Here is a 13,800-nt window from a genome sequence, read left to right on the forward strand (position 1 = left end):
GAAGCATGAATGAAGACAGGAGTAGAGAGTCAACATATGAAGAGTTTTATGTCCTAAGTTAATGGAGTTTGAATTTGAACATGTGGTCAAACCAAAACCACCAAATGATTTTCATTAGGGAAGTGACATGTCAGATTTCTGTTAAAGTCACATGGCAGGGTAGCAAAGGGGCTAGAGGAGAATAAGTTATAAGAAGACAAGGAGGCCGGGCGCGGTGGCTCACGCCTGTAATCCCAGCACTTTGGGAGGCCGAGGCGGGCGGATCACGAGGTCAGGAGATCGAGACCATCCCGGCTAAAACGGTGAAACCCCGTCTCTACTAAAAATACAAAAAATTAGCCGGGCGTAGTGGCGGGCGCCTGTAGTCCCAGCTACTTGGGAGGCTGAGGCAGGAGAATGGCGTGAACCCGGGAGGCGGAGCTTGCAGTGAGCCGAGATCCCGCCACTGCACTCCAGCCTGGGCGACAGAGCGAGACTCCGTCTCAAAAAAAAAAAAAAAAAAAAAAAAAAAGAAGACAAGGAGTTCACATTTCTTGAGTGCTCACTATGTGCAAGGTATAGTATTAAATGTTTTATATTCATAATTTCCCCTTATCACTACAATAATACTTACTGACAAGCATTATTATCTCCATTTTACAGCTGAGGAAGATAAGGTTTAAAGAGGTTAATTTCCCTACAGTCACAACTGCAGTAAAATATATTGTTGGTATCTGAATATGAACTGACTTCAAGGTCCATGCTTTTCTTCTGAGCTATGCTATTAATTAGGAAGCACTGTATCAGTCTAGAAATGAATGATGATGAAGGCCTGAACCAAGATAGTGGCAGTGGAATGAAAGGAAAGGGAAAATGTGAGAAATATTGAAGGGATATAATTGGCAAGAAGACTTGGTTATTGTGCAGATTTGGAAGGGGGAGAGCAAGGAAGAGTGAGGTGTCAGGAACTTCTTTCATGTTTTAGCTTGCCTAAATGAGTGGGTGGATGATGATGTTATTAACTTAAATTGAAAAAGAACAAATGGAAATAGCAATGTTGGAGATACAGGACAAAATGGGAATAATTGATGGAATGAAGTGATGGAGGAGATGGGAAACGGTACAGGTGGATGGGTTACATCAGTTGCTTTTTCTGTAATGGGAGGAGAGAGGCTAAGATTATGTACAGATATAAATGAGCGTTGGGGAGGAAATAATATTGAGAGATTTTAGACTCAATGACTTCTGCATTATCTCTGAAAAAAGGAAGTGAAAGCAGGAGGCAAAGAAGAGGAAGTGAACTTGAAAAGCACAGCATTAAAAGTTTGAATTAACCACTGTGGGGAATGAAAGAGGGAACGGATCACCATTACCTAATAAAATTACAAAGCATTTTTTTTTCTTCACCATCATATGATACCCCTACTTTATTTTTTTTCTATTTTTGAAATTAAAGTTATCATAAATCTTAAATGAGATAATTGATATCATTATTCATCCATAGGGTCAGCATTCTTTGTTTTGCAAAGTGGTGGGAACAAAGTACATTCTCATCAAAAGCATACAAGCTTTTGTTTGAATTTTCTTGTCTGGTTCTAATATAAAGGCTACATTGGCCTTGCAAAATAAATTAGGAGGGTTTTGCCTTTGGTATTTTATGGAAGACTTTGAGTAAGACTGAAATAATCTGTTTCTTGGCATTTATCTGGAAACTTGTTAGAGCCTGGTCCTGGTGTTTTCTTCATTGGAAGTTTTTTTTTAATGTTTTTGTTTTGTTTTACTATAAGCCAAATTTATTTAATAGATAGAGGGTTATTCAGGTTTTTGATTTCTCCTTGAGTCACTTCTGATAAATTATATTTTTCTAGAAATTTACTCATTCATTTAAGTTTTCAAATTTATTATAAAAAATTGTGCACTGTTTAATATCAACATCTATAGTTATCCTCTTTTCACTCCTAATATTGTTGCCCTTTCTCTCTCTCTTTTTTCCTTGATTAATTCCATTAGAAATTTTTCATTTAAAAAAATTTTCAAAGAAACAACTTATATCTTTGTTGGTCTTTATTGTACATTTGTTTTCTAATTTATTAAATACTACTCTTCATTTTCCTTTGATTTAGTTATTTTTTTGAAGTTTTCGATATGAATAATTTAATTGTTATTTTCAACCTTTATTCTTTCATAATATACCACTTTAAGACTATAACATGTCTTCCAAATACCACTTTAAGTGAATCCTGTCTGTTTGAATGCTTAATGTTGTTGTGATCATTTAGTTGTATTTTCTCATTTCCATTATAAAGTCTTCGTTGACCTATGAGCTGTTTAGAATTTGTTTGTCTTTAGTTGCTGATAAATGAGTTTTTCTTGTTATATATCAAAATGTTTGTGATTTTTCACTTACTTATGGAATAGTCAAAGAATGTTGTTCATATGATAACATTCCTTTCAAATTTGTTGAAGCTATCCTCACAGCCTAGCTTGTGGTTAGTTTTCTTAAATGTGACTTGTATGCTTACAAAAAATGTATAGTGTACACCTGTTGGGTACAATATCCTATTTATGTCCATTAGATCAAGCTTGTGAATTGTATGATTCAAATCTTCCACATCCCATTAATTTTTAATATATTCAAATTGTCAATTACTGAAAGGCTCATTTTGAAAGCCCTCATAATGATGATATATTATTCAACTTCTCTCTGTAAATCTGTTATTGTTTTATGTTTTGGGAGCTATCTTACTTCATTAAAAGAAGTTTAGAATTGCTTTATTTTTCTGGAAAATTGAACCTTTCTTATTATGTAAAGACCATCTTTATCTTTGGTACAAGGTTTTTTTTTGTTTTTTTTGTTCTTTTTAATTAAAGTCTGTTTTATCTGGTACTAATGTATCTATAGCCACTTTATTTGAGTTACAATTGCATAGTATAACGTTTTCATCTATTAACATTAATATTTCTGTATACTCTATTAAAAGGTGTATAAATGGATATTTTTAAGAGTCCATGTAACAATCTTTGTCTTTTAGCTTGAGAGTTTAGTCCATTTACATTTATAGTACCTACTGAGTAATTGAATGTATATAAATTATCTTATGTATTCTCTATTTGTACTATTTTTTCTATTTCCTTTGTTTCTACTTGTAACATTTTGGATTGATTCATTTAAAAAATTAGTGGCTACTTAGTTATTTTAACATGTTTATTTCAGCCAAGCAAATTGTAAAATTGTCAGCATTGTTACCCTCCACCTAAACTACACGAAGACTTCAGAATGCTTCACTTGTCATTGTCACCCTTCCAATGCTACATAACTGCAGCAATAGTAAAAACACTTGTATTTTCTTTCTTACTTTATTGGAAATGTGTCTAGTGATTTTCTGCTAAAACTTGTGATACCCTTTATCAAACTATAAAAGTATCTTTGTATTCAAATAACCTAATTTTTATCACATACTTTTTTTGCTTCATTGAAATAGTAATGACTGCATGGACTGTTGAGAAAGGCTCTGAGGCTGACTCTGGGCCTAGTTAGAAAAAGTGGAATATCTGACTATTGTGGCCTGCCATGGGCATTTGGGGGACAGAATGGCAGCATGTGTGCCATGTCACCTTGGAAAGCATAAGTGACAAAATGAAATGTAACACAGAGAAAGCATGGCTTGATTTTGGATGGGTAAGAGAGCAAAGATATGTGCAGAGTAGTAAGCCCTTTGGGGAGAATAAGAGGAATAGCCTTGTGGGCATCCTCAACAGCTAGGAGATTAACAAAGATACTAGATCATGGGGAAAGTAGGTAATGGGCAAGGTAGGTAATTTTCAAAGACAAATTATTTGTACTTGATTTTTTTCTTATGGCTACCCTTAAAAGGAAAAAATAAGTTGCACTTTTCTCTTGTGGCAGCTCCTACACCCCTTTCTCTCTACTCCTTAACAAGGAAATCAGCAAATCACCTGCCACTTCATATTATCTGTTTTATTGCTCCCTTCCATTAGTGTGGATGCTAGACACTTGGATGTGGTGCATATTAGAAGTAATACAGGAGGATATTACATACACGCTAGTCAGCAGCCAAAATCACAATCTCATTTGCTAGTGAATTTGCAAATAACCAGTCTTTCAGGTACTTCTCTAATTTTCACCAAATGTTGCACTTTTGAAAGCTTCATTAATCTAGCCCCATTAGGATGGGTAGGGTGAATGAGTTTATGGCTGTAGAAGGTGAAGTAGCAGAATTTGCAGCTCTTAAGAACATTGCTACCATTCATTTATGATAATGGTGTCTAAGTGGCATTAAAATTCCCCTACAAAATATTATTTGGAGTAAAAGAGCACCAAATACATGGTGAATTTGATAATAGAATACTTAAAACCCAACACATGCTTATTTACTGAAATTAATGGCTCTGAAATGACAAGCATGTGATTTAGTCTTAGAATCATGGTATGCATAGCTCTAGCATTGCAGGCAAGGGAGAAGCTAAAAGCAAATAAGTGGCATTCTAGAGGGAAAGAAACCATATGTATTCAAAGGAGAAATATGATTGAAAAAGTCATTAGTACCATAAGGAATTTTCAGCCATAGTTGACCTTTTCCTGAAATGAGAATGCTTTATTTTATGGTGAGAAATATTCTGTTTAGAAAAAGCAAACATTGGTGTTTGGGGAAGAATATTTCGGGTAGCCACTTTGAGTCAAGATGAGGTTTGATGACCCAGAACCATAACCCGTGGGCTTGGATTTTTGTTTATGATCAATAGATATAACATCAAAGAGATGTTCATTGCAAATATCTTATCATTTTTGTCCTTCATTTTCATTTCATTTTGTCCTTCCTTTGATTCACCATTTGTCTTCAGTTTTGTCTGCCCTGCTGCTAGAAATGACTGCTGGGGAAATAAAGCATGAAATAGGTAACCTCATGTGGGCCAAGAATTTTTCTTTTCCTTGATAGGTCCATTTTTATATATCAATTTGTACAGGTGCATCCTGTGACCAAAGGCTAAAAGAGTAGTACATACTGTCTAGAGCAATAGATTTTATGAAGGGAGCATTTTGCATACAAACCAATACAACTGGCAGATTTAATCAAGTTTTCTATGTGATTAGGCTTTGAAAGCTGTAGCCGGTTCCGATAGTAAAGAAATACTGTTTGGAAACAAATTACTACTCTTGTCTTTATGACATGTATCAATTTACACACAAGCTGCATAAATCACTTTTTATATTTTTCTATAATGGAAAAATACTGCAGGGCATTTTAATAACCAATAAATTATATGTTTAATGAACCAGACCAAAATATAAATGGTATGAGTCAAATACCCCTAAGAGTGAGGACTGGATATTGACTTGATAGAAATTCTGGTCACATAGACTATAGACTGTTAGATCCACCACAGTTCAAGAGAGTCAGTGCTTATACTTCATCTATGATCATCCACGTGAAAATTCTTCTTGGGACTTTATAACTTATTTTCATACCTCACCTATCTACTGCTTATATTATGCTCCAGAGAAATCAGGAGTGAAAATAGACAGTTTTACCTTTGACCTTTTATAAGTATTACTCCAATAATTTATACAGTAACTCTATTGCGCCTGGTGAATTAGAGAAAGCTTTTCTCAATCACTTATGTAAAGCAACTACACACATTTGACATCACATTTGAAACATGTGAGAGTCCACTGATAAAGGGATGTAGTCACAGAACCAACAAAATACCCTTTTAGTTTTCAGACACATGAACGGAGACCCTAACAAGGTGAGAGAAATTGGATGAGAGAAACACATGAAACTTGAGTTGTTGCAATAGGAGTTTCCAAGTAAATACGGGATACTTCATTGCTTCCTAATCTTCTCATATTTAGGATCACATATGTCCATGCATTAAAACAATAGAGAAGTAAGTATATGTTACCTAACATGTATTGATGTTATTTTTGTTTCTTATTAAAGAACAGTGAGGCGGTATAGTTTTAAAGAAAACTGGGTGGGAAGACAAAGGACATGGGGTTTGCAAACCCCTAATGAAGGTGCCATTAACTAACTAGCTGTAAAATTCTGGCCAAATCACTTCTCTTGAGCTTCCATTTTCTCATGTATAAAATGAGGGAGTCAGATAAGATGATTACTAAGTTTTTTTTTTTCTTATCTATTTGGTATTGTTAAAGGCCTCAGAGTTTGCATATGAAATTTAGTAAAGTTGTATCCTGTTGTATAAAATAGTCATATTACTGAAACATTGTGTATTTTAATTTCTTTCTTTACTTTGTGGGGAGGGAGCCAATTGTATTCTGAGCACAATGGAGAATACTGTTACTTAAAGGAAACCTGTGATGATTGTTTTTAGTATATGTGCTGTGGAAGCCAGCACTCTGTGATGATTCTTTGTAAAGCAAATAAACCTTTGTAATGCAAATGTTTATATTCTAATGGTTCTATTTTCAAGTTTCCATTTTAATATATCAAGCTCATTTGCTCCAAAGTACAACTAAACTTTACATATTAATGAAAATTCACATCTATATATATATATATATATATATATATTTATCATTTTTAGCCTAGAGGAAAAATTTTCTTCCTCTTCTGTATTCTTAAATATTTACTGACAGTGCCACTTATTTAGCTATATGCTCTAAAAATAATTGTCATGTATTGGTTAGGAACTCAGTCTCTGGAGTAAGACAGCTTGGGTTTTAAGTCTGGTTCTGTTGCTTACTAGCTGGGCAGCTTTGACCAAAATGCTCCGTGTTACCAAGCCTGTTTCCTCATCTGTAAAAATAACATAACAGGAGTAGGGCTCGCAAGATGGCCGATAAGAACAGCTCTGGTCTGCAGCTCCCAGCGAGATCAATGCAGAAGGTGGGTGATTTCTGCATTTCCAACTGAGGTACCCGGATCATCTCATTGGGTCTGGTTAGACAGTGGGTGCAGCCCACGGAGAGCAAGCCGAAGGAGGGTGGGGCATTGCCTCACCTGGGAAGCACAAGGGATCAGGGAGCTCCCTTCCCTAGCCAATGGAAGCCATGAGGGACTGTGCCATGAGGAATGGTGCAATCCAGCCCAGATACTATGCTTTTGCCACGGTCCTCGCAACCCACAGACCAGGAGATTCCCTCTGCTGGCTACACCCCCCAGGGCCCTGGGTTTGAAGCACAAAACTGAGTGACCATTTGGGCAGACACTGAACTAGCTGCAGGAGTTTTTTTTCATACCCCAGTGGTGCTTGGAACACCAGCGAGACAGAACCATTTACTCCCCTGGAAAGGGGGCTGAAGCCAGGGAGCCAAGTGGTCTAGCTCAGCGGATCCCACCCCTATGGAGTCCAGCAAGCTAGGATCCACTGGCTTGAAATTCTTGCTGCCAGCATTGCAGTCTAAAGATGACCTGGGACGCTTGAGCTTGGTGGGGTGAGGGGCGTCCGCCATGACTGAGGCTTGCATAGGCGGTTTTCCCCTCGTAGTGTAAACAGAGCCGCCTTGAAGTTCAAACTGGGCTGAGCCCACCGCAGCTTGACAAAGCCACTGTAGCCTCTCTAGATTCCTCCTCTCTGGGCAGGGCATCTCAGAAAGAAAGGCAGCAGCCGCAGTCAGGGGTTTATAGATAAAACTCCCCTCTCCCTGGGACAGAGCACTTGGGGGAAGGGGTGGCTGTGGGTGCAGCTTCCGCAGACTTAAATGCTCCTGCCTGCTGGCTCTGAAGAGAGAAGCAGATCTCCCAGCACAGTGCTCAAGCTCTGCTAAGGGACACTCTGCCTCCTCAAGTGGGTCCCTGACCCCTGTGCTTCCTGACTGGGAGACACCTTCCAGCAGGGTTGGACAGACACCTCGTACAGGACAGCGTCGGCTGGCATCTGGAGGGTGCCCCTCTGTGATGAAGCTTCCAGACGAAGGAACAGGCAGCAATCTTTGCTGTTCTGCAGCCTCTGCTGGTGATACCCAGGCAAATAGGGTCTGGAGTGGGCCTCCAGCACACTCTAGCAGACCTGTAGCAGACAGGCCTGTTAGAAGGAAAACTAACAAACAGAAAGAAATTGCATCAGCATCACCAAAAAGGACATCCACACAGAAACCCCATCCAAAGGTCACCAACATGAAAGACCAAAGGTAGAAAAATCCACGGAGATGAGGAAAAACCAGCATAAAAATGCTGGAAATTCCAAAAACCAGAATGCCTCTTTTCCAAAGGATAACAAGTCCTCACTAGTAAGGGAACAAAACTGGATGGAGAATGAGTTTAACAAACTGACAGAAGTAGGCTTCAGAAGGTGGGTAATAACAAACTCCTCTGAGCTAAAGGAGCATGTTCTAACTCAATGCAAGGAAGCTAAGAACCTAGAAAAAAGGTTAGAGGAATTGCTAACTAGATAACCAGTTTAGAGAACATAAATGACCTGATGGAGCTGAAAAACACAGCATGAGAACTTCATGAAGCACACAAAAGTATCAATAGCCAAATCAATCAAGCGGAAGAAAGTATATCAGAGCTAGAAGATCAACTTAATGAAATAATGCACGAAGAGAAGATTGGAGAAAAAATGAATGAAAAGGAATGAACAAAACCTCCAAGAAATATGGGACTATGTGAAAAGACCGAACCTACATTTCATTGGTATACCTGAATAATGACAGGGAGAATGGAACAAAGTTGGAAAACACTCTTCAGGATATTATCCAGGAGAACTTCCCCAACCTAGCAAGACAGGCCAACATTCAAATTTAGGAAATACAGAGAACACCACAAAGATACTCTTCAAGAAGAGCAATCCCAAGATACATAATTGTCAGATTCACCAAGGTTGAAATGAAGGAAAAAATGTTAACAGCAGCCAGAGAGAAAGCTTGGGTTACCCACAAAGGGAAACCCATCAGACTAACAGCAGATCTTTCTGCAGAAACCCTACAAGCCAGAAGGGAGTAGGTGCCAATATTCAACATTCCTTTTTTTTTTTTCTTTTTGAGACGGAGTCTCGCTCTGTCGCCCACGCTGGAGTGCAGCGGCATGATCTTGGCTTACTGCAAGCTCCACCACCCGGGTTCATGCCACTCTCCTGCCTTAGCCTCCCGAGTAGCTGGGACTACAGGCGCCCACCACCACGCCCGGCTAATTTTTTGTATTTTTTTAGTAGAGATCGGGTTTCACCATGTTAGCCAGGATGGTCTTGATATCCTGACCTCGGGATCCACCTGCCTTGGCCTCCTAAACTGCTGGGATTACAGGTTAACATTCTTAAAGAAAAGAATTTTCAACCCAGAATTTCATATCCAGCCACACTAAGCTTCAAAAGTGAAGGAGAAATAAAATCCTTTACAGACAAGCAAATGCTGAGAGACTTTGTCACCACCAGGCCTGCCTTACAAGAGCTCCTAAAGGAAGCACTAAATATGGAAAGGAAAAACCAGTGTCAGCCACTGAAAAACATACAAAATTGTAAAGACCATCAACACTATGAAGAAACTACATCAACTAATGGGCAAAATAACCAGCCAGCACCATAATGACAGGATCAAACACACATAACAATATTAAACTTAAATGTAAATGGGCCAAATGCCCCAATTAAAAGACAGAGACTGGCAAATTGAATAAAGAGTCAAGACTCATCAGTGTGCGGTATTCAGGAGACCCATCCGATGTGCAAAGACACACATAGACTCAAAATAAAGGGATGGAGGAATATTTACCAAGCAAATGGAAAGCAAAAAAAGCAGGGGTTGCAATCCTAGTCTCTGATAAAACAGACTTTAAACCAACAAAGATCAAAAAAGACAAAGAAGGGCATTACATAATGGTAAAGGGATCAATGCAACAAGAAGAGCTAACTATCCTAAATATATATGCACCCAATACAGGAGAACCCAGATTCATAAAGCAAGTCCTTAGGAACATATAAAGAGACTTAGACTCCCACACAATAATAGTGGGAGACTTTAACACCCCACTGTCAATATTAGACAGATCAACGAGACAGAAAATTAACAAGGATATTCAGGACTGGAACTCAGCTCTGGACCAAGCGGACCTAATAGACATCTACAGACCTCTCCACTCCAAATCAATAGAATATACATTCTTCTCAGCACCACTTCACACTTATTCTAAAAATGACCACATAATTCAAAGTAAAACACTCCTCAGCAAATGCAAAAGAATGGAAGTCATAACAAACAGTCTCTCAGACCACAATGCAATCAAATTAGAACTCAGGATTAAGAAACTCACTCAAAACTGCATAACTACGTGGAGACTGAACAACTTGTGCCTGTATGACTACTGGGTAAATAATGAAATTAAGGCAGAAGTAAATAAGTTCTTTAAAACCAATGAGAACAAAGATACAACCTATCACAATCTGTGGAACACAGCTAAAGAAGTGTTTAGAGGGAAATTAATAGTACTAAATGTCCACAGGAGAAAGCAAGAAAGATCTAAAATTGACAGCATAACATCACAATTAAAAGAACTAGAGAAGCAACAGCAAACAAATTCAAAAGCTAGCAGAAGACAAGAAATAACTAAGATCAGAGCAGAACTGAAGGAGATACAGACGCAAAAAGCCCTGCAAAAAATCAGTGAATCCAGGAGCTGGTTTTTTGAAAAGATCAACGAAAGTGATAGACCGCTAGCAAGACTAATAAAGAGGAAAAGAGAGAAGACTCAAATAGACGCTATAAAAAATGATAAATAGGATATCACCACCAATCTCACAGAAATACAAACTACCATCAGAGAATACTATAAACACCTCTATGCAAATAAACTAGAAAATCTAGAAGAAATGGATAAATTCCTGGACACATACACCCTCCCAGGATTAAACCAGGAAGAAGCTAAATCCCTGAATAGACCAATAACAAGTTCTGAAATTGAGGCAGTAAGTAATAGCCTACCACCCAAAAAAAGCCCCAGATCAGACAGATTCACAGCCAAATTCTACCAAAGGTACAAAGAAGAGCTGGTACCACTCCTTCTGAAACTATTCCAAACAATAGAAAAAGAGGGACTTCTCCTTAACTCATTTTATGAGGCCAGCATCATCCTGATAGCAAAACCTGGCAGAGACACAACAAAAAAAGAAAATGTCAGACCAATATCCCTGATGAACATCAATGCAAAAATCATCAATAAAATACTGGCAATCCAAATCCAGCAGTGTATCAAAAAGCTTATCCACCACAATCAAGTTGGCTTCATCGCTGGGATGCAAGGCTAGTTCAACATATGCAAATCAATAAACATAACCCATCACATAAACAGAACCAGTGACAAAAACCTCAATAGATGCAGAAAAGACCTTCAACAAAATTCAACAGCCCTTCATGCTAAAAACTCTCAATAAACTAGGTATTGATGGAACGTATCTCAAAATAATAAGAGCACTTTATGACAATCCCACAGCCAATATCATACTGAATGGGCAAAAGCTGAAGGCATTCCCTTTGAAAACTGGCACAAGACAAGGATGCCCTCCTCACCACTTCTATTCAACATAGTGTTGGAAGTTCTGGCCAGGGCAATCAGGCAAGAGAAAGAAATAAAGGGTATTCAAATAGGAAGAGAGGAACTCAAATTGCCTCTGTTTGTAGATTACATGATTGTATATTTAGAAAACCCCATTGTCTCAGCCCCAAATCTCCTTAAGCTGATAAGCAACTTCAGCAAAGTTTCAGGATACAAAATCAATGTGCAAAAATCACAAGCATTCTTATACACCAATAACAGACAAACAGAGAGCCAAATCATGAGTGAACTCCCATTCACAACTGCTTCAAAGACAATAAAATACCTAGGAATACAACTTACAAGGGATGTGAAGGAGCTCTTCAAGAGGAACTACAAACCACTATTCAACGAAATAAGAAAGGGCACAAACAAATGGAAAAACATTGCATGCATGGATAGGAAGAATCAATATTGTGAAAATGGCCATATTGCCCAAAGTAATTTATAGATTCAATGCTATCCCCATCAAGCTACCATTGACCTTCTTACCAGAAATGGAAAAAAATTTCATATGGAAACAAAAAAGAGCCCATATAGCCAAGACTGGAATAAACGAAGACTGGACTTGACTAAGCAAGAATAAGCAAAAAGAACAAAACTGGAGGCATCATGCTACCTGACTTCAAACTATACTATGAGTCTACAGTAACCAAAACAGCATGGTATTGGTACAAAAACAGATATATAGACCAATGGAACAGAACAGAGGCCTCAGAAATAACACCACACATGTAAAACCATCTGATCTTTAACAAGCCTGACAAAAACAAGCAATGGGGAAAGAATTTCCTATTTAATAAATGGTGCTGGGACAACTGGCTAGCCACAAGCAGAAAACTGAAACTGGACCCCTTCCTTACATCTTATACAAAAATTAACTCAAGATAGATTAAGGACTTAAATGTAAGACCTAAAACCATAAAAACCCTAGAAGAAAACCTAGGCAATACCATTCAGGACATAGGTATGGGCAAAGACTTCATGACTAAAATACCAAAAGCAATGGCAACAAAAGCCAAAATTGACAAATGGGATCTAATCAAACTGAAGAGCTTCTGCACAGCAAAAGAAACTATCATCAGAGTGAACAGACAACCTTCAGAATGGGAGAAAAATTTTGCAATCTATCCATCTGTCAAAGGGCTAATATCCAGAATCTACAAAGAACTTAAACAGATTTACAAGAAAAAAACAACCCTATTAAAAAGTGGGCAAAGGATATGATCAGACACTTCTCAAAAGAAGACATTTATGCAGCCAACAGACGTATAAACAAAAGCTCATCATCACTGGTCATTAGAGAAATGCAAATCCAAACCACAATGAGATACCATCTCACGCCAGTTAGAATGGCGATCATTAAAAAGCCAGGAAACAGAGTTGGGTCCAAGATGGCCAAGTAGGAACAGCTCCAGTCTGCAGCTCCCAGCATGATCGACACAGAAGATGGGTGATTTCTGTATTTCCAAATGAGGTACCTGGTTCATCTCATTAGGACTGATTGGACAGTGGGTGCCGCTCATGGAGGGCGAGCCGAAGCAGGGCGGGGCATTGCCTCACCCAGGAAGCACAAGGGGTCAGAATATTTCCCTTTCCTAGCCAAGGGAAGCTGTGACAGAGTACCTGGAAAATCGGGATGCTCCCGCCCAAATACTGTGCTTTTCCAAAGGTCTTAGCAAGCGGCAGACAAAGTGATTCTCTCCCATGCCTAGCTAGGCAGCTTCCACGCCCACGGAGCCTTGCTCATTGCTAGCGCAGCAGTCTGAGATTGATCTGCGAGATGGCAACCTGGCTGGGGGAGGGGTGTCTGCCATTGCTGAGGCTTGAGTAGGTAAACAAAGCAGCCGGGAAGCTTGAACTGGGCAGAGCCCACCACAGCTCAACAAGGCCTACTGCCTTGAGACTCCACCTCTGTGGGTAGGGCATAACTGAACAAAAGGCAGCAGACAACTTCTGCAGACTTAAACGTCCCTGTCTGACAGCTCTGAAGAGAGCAGTGGTTCTCCCAGCACAGCATTTGAGCTCTGAGAGTGGACAGACTACCTCCTCAAGTGGGTCCCTGAACCCCGTGTAGCCTAATTGGGAGACATCTCCCAGTAGGGGCCGAGAGACACCTCATATAGGTGGCTGCCCCTCTGGAACAAAGCTTCCAGAGGAAGGATCAGGCAGCAATATTTGCTGTTCTGCAATATTTGCTTTTCTGCAGCCTCCGTTGGTGAAACCCAGGCAAACAAGGTCTGGAGTGGAACTCCAGCAAACTCCAACAGACCTGTAACTGAGGGACCTCATTGTTAGAAGGAAAACTAAC

At 39.0% G+C, this 13,800-nt stretch overlaps 2 annotated features.

The window, feature by feature from the left end:
* Positions 6,769–7,374: an enhancer, noted in NCBI's record as "H3K27ac-H3K4me1 hESC enhancer chrX:97169940-97170545 (GRCh37/hg19 assembly coordinates)". NCBI's record gives its function as "activates a minimal SCP1, AML or CMV promoter by ChIP-STARR-seq in primed H9 embryonic stem cells {active_cell/tissue: H9 hESC(primed)}" and the evidence as "EXISTENCE:reporter gene assay evidence [ECO:0000049][PMID:30033119]".
* Positions 7,375–7,979: an enhancer, noted in NCBI's record as "H3K27ac-H3K4me1 hESC enhancer chrX:97170546-97171150 (GRCh37/hg19 assembly coordinates)". NCBI's record gives its function as "activates a minimal SCP1, AML or CMV promoter by ChIP-STARR-seq in naive and primed H9 embryonic stem cells {active_cell/tissue: H9 hESC(naive and primed)}" and the evidence as "EXISTENCE:reporter gene assay evidence [ECO:0000049][PMID:30033119]".

Source organism: Homo sapiens, chromosome X (genome assembly GCF_000001405.40).
Source record: "Homo sapiens chromosome X, GRCh38.p14 Primary Assembly".
Classification (NCBI taxonomy): domain Eukaryota; kingdom Metazoa; phylum Chordata; class Mammalia; order Primates; family Hominidae; genus Homo; species Homo sapiens.